At 39.4% G+C, this 12,135-nt stretch overlaps 1 long non-coding RNA gene across 1 annotated transcript, besides 1 other annotated feature; it reads right to left on the bottom strand.

The window, feature by feature from the left end:
* Window positions 1-2,702: 2,702 nt before the first annotated feature.
* Window positions 2,703-7,866, bottom strand: LOC124901994 (uncharacterized). Its single transcript, XR_007061035.1, has 2 exons — window positions 7,751-7,866; window positions 2,703-3,097 (listed from the first exon to the last, which is right to left on the bottom strand). It is a non-coding gene; the product is annotated as an uncharacterized LOC124901994 (long non-coding RNA).
* Window positions 10,250-10,450: a silencer, noted in NCBI's record as "peak7132 fragment used in MPRA reporter construct". NCBI's record gives its function as "represses an SCP1 promoter by STARR-seq MPRAs in K562 erythroleukemia cells {active_cell/tissue: K562}" and the evidence as "EXISTENCE:reporter gene assay evidence [ECO:0000049][PMID:32103011]".

The raw sequence follows: 12,135 nt of genomic DNA, 5'->3' as shown, positions 1-12,135 counted from the left end.
ATGTAATGCTGTGTAGTTAATACTGTATTGTTTAGAAAATAATGACAAATTTAAAAGTCTGCCCACATTTAATACATACATCCATATTTTTCTCCTGAATACTTTTGATCTGTGGTTGGTTGAATCCACAGATGCAGAACCTATAGATATGAAGGGTTGACTGTAATTATGTCCCCTGTGTCATTATTGCCAGAAGTCATTACCCAGAGCATGATGTATAGGTTAAAGGTGGTAGAGGCTATATTTGTATTCAGACAGGAGGGGAAGTGGTTTGACCATTTTGATCTAAATTAATAAGCAAGAATGATTAAATTGTCAGGAATAAGAAAAATAAACCTACAGTCCTACAGAATATCAAGCAGAGCAGAAGAAAAGGTGCTGATTAGTTAAGAGTCAAGAACTTTATGTTCTAACCTTATCACAAATCTACAGGTGGAGTGTGCTGTTAATTTAGGACAAGTTGCACATCATATGTTCATGTTTTCCACATACATTATAACCAAGTAATAAATACACTTTTCTTTTCTTTTCTTTTCTTTTTTTTTTGAGGCAGAGTTTCACTCTGTCACCCAGAATGGAGTGCAGTGGTGCAATCTCAGCTCACTGCCACCTCCACTTCCCAGGTTCAAGCAATTCTCCTGCCTCAGCCTCTTGAGTAGCTGGGATTACAGGTACACACCACCATGCCAGGCTAAGTTTTTTTGTATTTTTAGTAGAGACAGCATTTTGCTCTGTTCCCCAGGCTGGTCTCAAACTCCTGACCTCAGGTGATCTGCCTGCCTGGGCCTCCCAAAGTACTGGGATTACAGGCGTGAGCCACCGCGCCCGACCCACCTTTCTTTTAATAAGTGAAAGATCATTTGATGTGGTTTGGCTCTGTGTCTCCACCCAAATCTCATCTCAAGTTGTAATCCCCATGTGTGGAGGAAGGGACCTGTAATTCTCCTGTGTGGAGGGAGGGAGGTGATTGGATTATGGCAGTGGTTTTTCCTCTCTGAGAACTTGCTCCAGTGAGTGAGTTCTCACCAGATCTGATGGAATTATGAGGGGCTCTTCCCTTTCCCTTTTTCTTCTCTTGCCTGCTGCCACGTAAGACGTGCCTGCTTCCCCTTCTGTCATTATTGTAAGTTTCCTGAGACTTCCTCAGCCATGTGGAACTATGAGTCAATTAAACCTCTTTGGCTTTTTTTTTTTTTTTTTTGAGACAGAGTCTCGCTCTGTCACCCAGGCTGGAGTGCAGTGGTACGATCTTGGCTTGCTGCAACCTCCACCTCCTGGGTTCAAGCGATTCTCCTGTCTCAGTCTCCCGAGTATCTGGGATTACAGACACCCGCCACCGCATCTGGCTAATTTTTTTATTTTTAGTAGAGACAGGGTTTCACCATGCAGGTCAGTCTGGTCTCGAACTCCTGACCTCGTAATCCACCCACCTCGTCCTCTCAAAGTGCTGGGATTACAGGTGTGAACCACCATGCCCGGCCTGGGTCCCATCTGTTAATGTTCGAACACAGAGGAGGTGGAGTTCCTAGAATATTGGGACATAGAGGCTTCACAGAAGAGTATCTTTTTTCTTTATAAATTACCCAGTCTCTGGTAGTATCTTTCTAGCAGTATGAAAATGGAGTAATACATCATTTATTCTGCCTTGCATAGTGAATTTTCCCTATTTGTTTAGAAAAACAAATTGTGAAATAAATATTTATTGCATTTTCATAGTGCTCAAGAACTGTGTGGAGAAATGTATTTAAAGTGGTTTGTCTTAATTCTTAAGCAATCATATGAGGAGTGATGCTTTCAAAGATCACTGTTGTATTCAAAACAGTTAACTTAGAAGCTTTTAAGCAATCTAGTGATGCTCTGTGTTACAAAGTACGTTTATAACATTTGTTTAGAGTTTTTTTTAGAACCAGTTTATGAACCTCATGATAAAATCAGTCTGAGTAATAATTTTATGTGTGAATTAAAGTTACATTTTCCATCAAAGTCGTTGTCCAGAATCATCATCAAAATACTTTTGGCTGCTTCCAAAACTAAAATTCATTTCCCAAAAGAAAGACTAACCCTCCATGAGGTTATAGAAAAGAGTCTTAGGCTCTGAGAGCATTTTTTGACTTTTTTTCTTTTCTCTTTCTTTTTTCTTTTTCTTATAAAAAGTACCATACATTCAGAAGAATATAAAACAAATATGAATTGGCTAAGGAATAATAATGATAAAATAAACACCTGTGTACCTACCACTCAGGTTAAGTAACAGAACCTTACCTCAAACTGGCTACGTAATTAAAAGGCCTAGTGCAAAATAAAAACAAGGCTCCGTTGTTCAAAAAGCAGGAATAATGTGCTATTAAATGTACTAAAACATAAAGCTTTTTCTTTCTTTCATGTTTCTCCTCTGATCATGCACATGTTCCATTGTGCCATCAGACTTTACTTACAAAACACAGGCTCGAAGATAACATTATCAAGAATTTCAAACCATGACAGCCAAGCCTTAAACCTAGTGCAGGGCCCTTCTGCGAAAGGGGCCCCATGTGATGCTACAGGCTGCATACATGAAGTCAACCCTGAACTTGGAAGTCTCCTCTGCATCTTGTCCCAAATGTTTCTCCTTCCCTCTCTCCCAGGGTGAATACAATTTCTAAAGGGTAAGGTGGGTGATTAAGGCATCACTGGAATAAGTGCATAACTCCTGAAACACATCATTCATTTGGATATACCTTTATTTGACCGGGGAATAAAGACTTTCTTACTTTGGAGTTACACTGTACAAAATGCCGTCACCATAAATAAAGGACAGAACTTAGTAAGGCAGACAAGGCATAGAACCACGAAAAGTTAGATATCAATATAAGACGAAGTTAGCATAACAAGAGAAGAAAAGAGTTAGAATAATGTGTCAAAGCAGGAGTCACAGTTCAGGAAGGATATTGACAAAGTGCTCTGAGGAGGGTGGCTGCAAATGTAGAAACCATGTGGTATCCATTGAGGTTCCGCTGAAGGACTTGGAGAAAGGAGGACTCAGAAGGCTCGATGACTGTCTCCAGTAAGTTCTTAGGTGGAACAGGGAGTCGGCTTGGCCTACATAGCCTCTAGGAGTCTAAACAGAGAAAAGACCTTAACCAAGATCTGGAACTTTACCCAAAAAAGGAACGGAGTATCTGGGACAATGGTAAATTCCACATCGCTGGATGTTCAAAGAGAAGCTGGTAATATTGCAAGCAGGAGGGATATTGTTGAAGGAGTTCAAGCACCAAATGAGTGATGAGGCTGGATGACTTTTTAAAGGGCCCTTTCAGCCCTCAAGTTCCATAATTCAAATTCAAATAAGACAGGGGCAAAATGGTCACCCAACGAGCGCTCTGTATTCATAGGAAGCGGGGATTAAGCTCTCACACAGTATTTTTCAAAGTACAAGATTGCCAGCCATTTCAGCTTATGAAATCAAGTGGCCTGACTAGCACTTTAAAAAATGAAATTGAATAGAAACAGAATGCATCACAAGTAGGATGGGTAAATGTGAGCGAATGTGTGTGTGTTTATTATTTACTCTGAAGCTAGGATAAAAAATTTATTTTGAAAGCTTGGAAGCTAGACAGAGTCCCCCAAATACCATTTCCCATTGTGCAGGGCTGTCCCTGGCAAAGTAGAGGTACAGCTAAGTAGAGAAGGACTGCAGTCAACGTATCAGGTATACAATTAACAATGCTAACCTCTGAAGCAAGAGACCCACCACTAACCAGATGAGACCATGGATTACAGGCAAGAGGAGCAGGTGAATCAGGAAGACAAGACAGTAAATGAAGTTCAGATTTACAGTGAAGGATTAGCGAGTGCTGTTACTCAAGGGATGGACTGAATCAAACAGGAAACTGGAAAGCCATGTGGGCTCCAGGCAATCAGACAAAAGGAAGCCAAAGAACATTACTGCCCCTTTGAAATAATTCGTGTATAAATCATTAATTGATGTTAAAACCGTCGTGTGAAATGTTACTGAGGACAATACATTAACATAGTCTAAAAGTCTAACCACATCTATTCTTCACTAATTCTGAAAGGGAAAAGCTACCTTTACAACAGAGAGATCTAGTGGCCATTTCCTTAACCGAAAAAGCTAATGTAACATCATCCATAAAGAGGTGAGCAGAACTTATGGAGCCCCTGATGGGATGCACTGAGAGGAATACAATGTCACCTTTGTTGGATTCTCACCAGAAACATTTCACTTGAATCTAGTCTTGAGGAAACAATTGGACAAACCAAATTGAAAAGCATTCTATAATACTAGCCTGGACTTTTAGAAAATGTTTGTATCATAAAAGGAGAAAAGAGGTTGCAATGGCCTCTGATGGTCATAAGTGTTACAGATCAGGAATCAATGTGTCCACAGTGGCCTGACATCATCCTTGTTCCAGAAAGACTCAGCAAGAGCGTGACTCATGAGGCTCTTCCTCAGGTTAGAAGGGATAACAGGAAAGTGAGGATGCTGAGCCTATGTGCTGGCCATTATATGTTGACCCTTTTAATATTGAAATCACGTTTGAAGTAGATGTCATTGTCCTTAGTTTACCGATGAGGAGACGGAGTCAGATCATTTGCCCAAGGTCATGCAGAGTTGGCATTAGACTCACATGCACCAAATCCAAATCCTTCTTCTCCTCTCTCTTCTTCTTTGTAAAATCACCATTTTCAATCACAAAATATTGCAATGATGAAAAAATAAATACGATAATATAACAGACACCTATGTAGTCACCAGTTGGATAAAAGTTAACATTTCGTCACAATTGTTTTATATTTTTTTCATTTATGGCTCCTGATTTAAATACCCTCTTCAATTCAAGCACCTGGGGATTTCTTTTCTCTTTTCTCCCTTTTCTCCTCCTCCCTTCCTCCCTTTCTCCTCTCAGTTCAACCATGTACTTACCATAGAGGAGGTGGTGATTTTATTTCATCTAGCATTTCTATGTGTTATAGTGGGAGGAGCATTCATATTAACTCAATCTATTTTGTCATCAGAGCCAGGCTTCCAGTTCTATGCTCTTTCTGCTAAATTACAATAGTTGGCAACATAAGACATGTACCTGGATTTTCGCAGTACACAAAACTTAATCACCCAATCACCAAGGCTCATTAGAATCTCTTCATGCTATCGTTTCCAGGAGAATCCAACAAGAAAAATCAGGACTAGATTCCTTTGGTCTTAGAATTTTGAGAATGGCCATTAAAGAGTCAAATTTGCAACTGTAGCTCACCGTGCTTTTTTATTCATAGTTTATTAATTTGCAAAGCTGAACAAATCAAACCAGCACCATGGATTTTGTGAAGAAAAACAAGCAGAAGGTTATCAAAAACCATACATAAAAGGTTGTAAATTCATGAGCTTTCTATCTCCCTTCAGATTCTATCAGATATTACACTAATTTCATTAAGTTCCAAGCAAGTATCTCTTCTTCTGAGGTTCTCCTCTCCAAAAAGCCAGTGACCTAGAAACCACACATATGTATACGGGAGGTGATGTAAGTGTTCCTCTTTATGAAGCAGTGAATTTGTCAAGCAAAGCATAAGATGTTTTCTCCCCTAGTAGTTTTGCCCTGACTGGCAATATTTAGGAGATACAATCCTAAAAATATATGGTAATGGTCACTGCCCTGAGGGTAAGGATGATGGTAATCTTTAACATTTGCAAAGATGTTACTGTACTAAACATTGTATAAGCATTATACAATGTTCATTTAATGTTCACCAAAACTTGTGAGACAGGTACTACTGTGATCTTCATCTTACATATAAGGAACGGAGCCACTGAGAAGTTAAGTAAATTGCCTAGTTAGAAAGTGCAGGGGACTGGTTACAAATGCTCATTCTAATAAGTCCTTATTTGCTTTGATTCCAGAGCCCTGAAGGCCTGCTTCAAAATTCCATCTTCAGTGTTAGCATTTCCTGAGCTGTTTCCCCCTCACAGCCACCCCTGTCTTCATGCCCTCTATCATATCACATTGCTTTGTGCTTATTTGTTGAGGTATCTTTCTCTCCTCACAGATTCTCAGTTCCTTGAGAACAGATACAGAATCATATGCATCTTTGTTTCCTCAACACCGGCCATAGGACCAAGTACATGTTAAGGGAGAGTTGTCATCATCAGGGCAGTTTTAATTGTAAGTAATAGAAACTAAATTCAAACTACTTTAGCCATCATTTAGCGGTTTACGTGATTAGGAAAGGCCAAGGTTGTAGCTAACAAGAACTTTCAGCTTTCTTTTTCTTTTTTTTTCCTCCTCTGTACTTATAAGCTCTTCTTTTCTTGCACCAAAGGCTTATGGACTCATTCCACACAGAGGAACCATGGCTGCTGAGGCTCTTTAGTGTATTTTCCAGTTTGGTCAACTGAGATGGTGGTGCCCAACCATCACCACTGCCAAAGACCTCCAGTCTTCAAAAGTCTCCCTGGGGTGGGGGAGAAAACTCCTTGGCATGGTTTGAGTCACATCCCTACTTCTGAAGTGATCAGATTGAAGTGTGATGATTGCAGTCATGACTAGAACTGCACTGCTGAAGTCAGGGAGGAGGAATTACCCCAAAAATGGTAGGAGGTGAATTTGCTAGAAGCCAACAAGAGTGTTAGGTAAATAAAACAATTTCTTTCTATCACAGGGCTCCAGTTCAGTCTTGTTGAACTGAAATGGAATTGGAACTGTGCCAGCCTCACTGGAATTGGACCCCATATTCTCTTCTGTCTCTAAAGAAGCTTTGGCCTTACCTGAAGCTGACTCTCAAGCCAATGGAAGATAGTGAAGTGTGATTGCATGAATTCTTGGAATCAGCACGTCATAAGGAACAAGAAGAAAAATATCAGGAAACAGGGGAAACAGCACCCTAAGATTTTGGGGGGATCATTTCATAGGCTTCCTGCAGGAGCATGCTAAATCCTGGTTAGTCTTGTTCCTGGATTTTACTTGAATAGATGATCACTTTTAAATCTGCCACTTGAACTTTTAGCTGTGCAGTGCTTAGGATTTAATAAGTGTATGATTTAATAAGTGTATTTCTTTTTTTCCCTCTTCTATACTTAACAAACTCTTCTTTTCTTTTCTTTTTTCTTTTCTTTTCTTTTTTTTTTTTTTTTTTGAGATGGAGTCTTGCTCTGTTGCCCAGGCTGGAGTGCAGTGGCACAATCTCAGCCTCAGCTCACTGCAACCTCTGCCTCCTGGGTTCAAGCGATTCTCCTGCCTCAGCCTCCTGAGTAGCTGGGATTACAGGTGCTTGCCACCACGCCCAGCTAATTTTTTTGCTTTTTTAGTAGAGATGGGGTTTCACCACCTTGGCCAGGCTGGTCTTGAACTCCTGACCTCATGATCCACCCGCCTCAGCCTCCCAAAAGGCTGGGATTACAGGCGTGAGCCACCGCGCCAGCCCAAGCTCTTCTTTTCTTGCATCAAAGGCTGATGGAGTCATTGCACACAGAGGAACCATGGCTGCTGAGGCTCTTTAGCATATTTTCCAATTTGGTCAACTGAGATGGTGGTGCCTGACCATCACCACCACCAAAGACCTCCAGTCTTGAAAAGTGTATGATTTAATAAGCAATTGCAAGCAAGGAAAAAACTATCTCAGTGTTTATGACCAAAAAAGTAAATAAAGTTAGTTTAATACTTGATATTCATATGCTGGGTGCAGGGTGCCAGAAATCTATTGGACAGTTTCAGATGGGAAGAGCTGAGAAAAAAAGAAAGTCTCTGGTGTGGGGAGTTACCTTTTCTCCCAAGAAGAGAATGTCTATACACTGGGAATCCGAAGTTAGTGGAACCTCTCCATTGGAAGCGTGGAAGCAGATTCCTTTCTCTCTCCTTCTTTCTACCCACTGTCCACTAGGTACTGGGGGAATACAAAAAATAAAGTCACGGTCCTTGCCTTGAAAAATCCTACAATTACTTGAAGAAAGATGGAAGCCCACACATACGTGTGAAAAGACATGAAAGTATCCGCAAAGCAAGATGTCGAGGGCTGGGAAACGCTTTTCCTTGCAATGTGGAAGAAGTGTCCTGGGTGTTAGGAGACCCAGGATCTGATTCCAGCTAGGGGTCCTTGAAAAGTTCCAAATCTCCTTGGGCTTTCATTTTCTCATGTGTGAAAATGGGCAATATGAAAAGTTAAAAAACAAACATCATGATTCAGTAAGTGTTGCCAACGACACACTTCTTGTGTCATTGGCAACACTTGGCTTTACGTATCTCTATGAGGTACATTTCTAAAACTCAGATAGCTACTAAAACCTAAATTAACGATAGGCCCAGATACTGAATTGCTATGTTGAAATAATATTTTAAAATAATAATAATAATAAACTTTCAATTATACAACTTACACTACAATTTGGTCTTGTACAGATAATAATTAAAAGTATTATTAAAATATCATTTTTTCAGTTTTCTCTCATCTTTTAAAATCCTCCATTTTTGTATATATTTTCTGTCCTATGTAAGATAATGCTGTAGTCATATATGTGTATGATTTTGAAATAGACATACAAATACAGAGGCATGGGCATAAATGTTTCTTAATTTCAGTTTTTACTGATAAGGAACATCAGTCAAAAATTTAGCAATCATTGTTCCTATCCATTAAGACTCAAGCCCCAAGCAGACTCTTCCCAGTAAGACTCACTGTAGTTTTGCTCTCTTGGGACCTCCCCAAGGTCCTCGAAGGCTTTCATGATAAAGTCTCGCACAAAGTTTGGTCTTCAAATAAGGTCTTCATCTAGGCAGAGCAAAGGCAGAGGATGTGCTTTCGAAACTCCCGAAAGCAGATCTGCACTTCAGAAAACTACAGATGCTGGTACTTTTAATATGCACATTTCCAAGTGCTTGTAAGTCACCTAGGTAATCTAATAATTGTTTAAAATTCAGTGAGATTCTTCACATGATGAGGTAAAGTTACCAGTGCATTCTCTCACCAGTGTTCTCCATGGAGACCCTGCACACCTCCTAAAATCCCGGCAGCCAAACTGTCTTGCCTTACTTGAAGAGAATAGAAAAAGAAAACTTGCAAATGCATCCTCATCTGCAAATGTGTGTGGTGATACCTTCTCTATGTTAAGTGCCTCACACAGTGCCTGGCAATTATTGGCATCACGAAAAGTTGGCCCAGGAATCCAGAGGGTAGCAAAAAAAGAATCTAGCAGAGGAAGTAAAGAGATCAGTCTAGGAATAGAAGAGGAGAAAAAAGACTTTTAGATGAGCCTGGGTCAGCAGAAGAAACAATATTTTGTGCTAGGAGCAAGGAAATCTTTTTAAAAAATACAATGATATCCCAATCCCCACAAGTTGCTTACATAAATGTGTGAGAAAAAAAAGTTAAGAGGATAAAATAATTGAACAGAAGTAGAGATAGCCCCAAGAAGCGTGTAATTAATTATCAGATGAACCATCAGAAACTAGAGCTAGGGAGCTCCAAGGACTTATGCTTGCTGTCCCTGGAGCCAGGTCCCATCTTTGGTGGTTGGTCCAGTTTGGCCATTTAGAATAGAAGCTGTACCTCATGACCTTCAGACAAGAGCATAACTGGCCTCATATCAGAAGACATGCTGTTGGTTGTAATTCTGTTCAGTTCTACATTGATTATGTACTCACTACATGTCAAGACCTGGAGTGGGTGCCAAGAATTTAGGAATTTAGGGATAAATAAGACTTGGTTCCTGTCCTCAAAGAGCTCAAGTTCTAGTTAAGAAAACAAACAATAATCATCATTTCATTACAATATGGTATGTGGAATGGAAAGTCAGCCTTAGCAATGTTACAAATATTCCAAGTTTTCTTCCATCCATTATCTCTTTGATCTGGAAACAGCACTGAGAGATGACTAAGACGACTGTCCTCATAGTTACTACGAACTTGTGTCTTATATGAAGTGTACTTTCCTCATTTCGAAGTGCCTCATATAATTAACTTCAGTTAATCATTGATTGAGAATCTACTGAATGCAAGACTTTATGCCGGGGCCCGGGTGTTTATAGAGGTATATAATTTGGTTCCAGAATTTTAAAAACTTAAATTATAATTAGAAAAACAGACTATTTGGATAAGCACACATGTAAAGTACAAATGGCAAATGAGTTACAGTTAATACATAAAAAATGTGTCTTTGGCAATGACATAACTGGGTGGGAAACCACCTGGATGGGAGAACAGGAACACCCACATTCTGTCTCAGGCAGCTACTCTTTTCAAGTCATGCATCTCTGCAGGGACTCAAACCCCGGGGCATAACTCCAGGGAGGTGACTGGTCCCTGTGGAGAACTCCCTTACCTTAAGGTGTAGTTTCTCCGAATGGCCTAGAAACAAGGCAAAGAAGCTCTGACCTTGACTCAACCACAGACCTTCCCACACACCAAAGAGAAAGACGTCAGAATCTGAGCAAGACTGGGTCACAGTGCTGAAGACCTTGGAGAAAAAAAAAAAAAAAAAAGCAAGACTGAAGACGCAGGTTACTACTGCCATTTCCCAGAGTTCTAGAAGCACCATCCAATACAGTTAGGGAAAGAAGAGATATAAAAATTGGAAACAAGGCAAAATGATCATGATTTATTAAGACTGCAACTGTATTTTTAGATAGCTCAAGATGATTACCCCCAAATCTGGGAACTAGAGAAAGCATCGAAAAGTGGTTATTTTATTAAAGTACACAATAGTTTTAATATAAACAAACAATAACCAGATGGGAAATATAATACAAGAACTACCTTATATACCACAGCAGGTAAAAAAAAAAAGGTAATATATAAGAAATGTAGAAAATATATACACAGAAAAATTTTAAATGACTGCATAATGTAACAGAAAGTTTATCTTATTCTTGGAAAAGAAAATAGTAATATAAAGTCAACTATCTCTAAGTTAGTTTGTACATTTTATGTTACCTCAATAAAATAGTATTTTTTAATGGTAGGAATTTTATAGAATGATACTGGAATTAAAAGGAATGAATGCAAAGAAAATTTCTGAGGGAAATAAAATAGTAAGTAGTGAGAGAGACTAACAGACATTAAAGCCTATAAATGAATAAGGTCCCATTTTCTTCTGGAGAGTAAATAATCAGGAGATTCAGTGAACAGAAGACGGAATCCACAAAGACACTCACTTATGCTTATTTATTATCTTCTTATATATATACATATTTTTATTATACTTTAAGTTCTAGGGTACTTGTGCACAATGTGCAGGTTTGTTACATATGTATACATGTGCCATGTTGGTGTGCTGCACCTATTAACTCGTCATTTACATTAGGTATATCTCCTAATGCTATCCCTCCCCCCTTCCCCCACCCCACAACAGGCCCCAATGTGTGATGTTCCCCTGCCTGTGTCCAAGTGTTCTCATTGTTCAATTCCCACCTATGAGTGAGAACATGCAGTGTTTGGTTTTTTGTCCTTGCGATAGTTTGCTGAGAATGATGGTTTCCAGCTTCATTCATGTCCCTACAAAGGACATGAACTCATCATTTTTTATGGTTGCATAGTATTCCATGGTGTATATGTGCCACATTTTCTTAATCCAGTCTATCTGGCTTATTTATTATCTTATAAAAGTAGCATTCCAAACTAGTTGGACAAGTTAGATTATTCAAGAAATTGTGGGAAAACTGACCAGCTCCTTGGAAAAAACATAAAGCTAGATTCCTGTCCTACTCCTCATATAAAAATAAATCCCAAATAGGACAGAGATTTCAACATTAAAAAAAAAAAGACCATAGAAGTGAAAACTAAAATACAATCTGAGTGGCATAGTGAAATACAAGACCTGGAACCATAAGGCAAGTATTGATAACTTGTACAACAAAATGCCCCAAATCCAGAACACTGACAACACCAAATGCTGATGAGGGTGTAGAGCAACAGGAACTCTTATTCCTTGCTACTGATTATGCAAAATGATACAACCAGTTTGGAAGACAGTTTGGGGGGTTCTTACAAAACTAAAGGTACTCTTACCATATAATCCAGCCACTGCACTCCTTGGTATTTACCCAGAGGAGCTGAAAACTTACATCCACATAAAATGTAGCATATAAGCCAGTCACGGTGACACGTGCCATAACCCCAGCTACTCAGAGGCTGAGGCAGGAGGATCATTTGAGCC

Source organism: Homo sapiens, chromosome 8 (assembly GCF_000001405.40).
Source record: "Homo sapiens chromosome 8, GRCh38.p14 Primary Assembly".
Lineage (NCBI taxonomy): Eukaryota > Metazoa > Chordata > Mammalia > Primates > Hominidae > Homo > Homo sapiens.
Note: the sequence above shows the minus strand (reverse complement) of the source record. Positions and strands in the feature narration are given on the sequence as shown.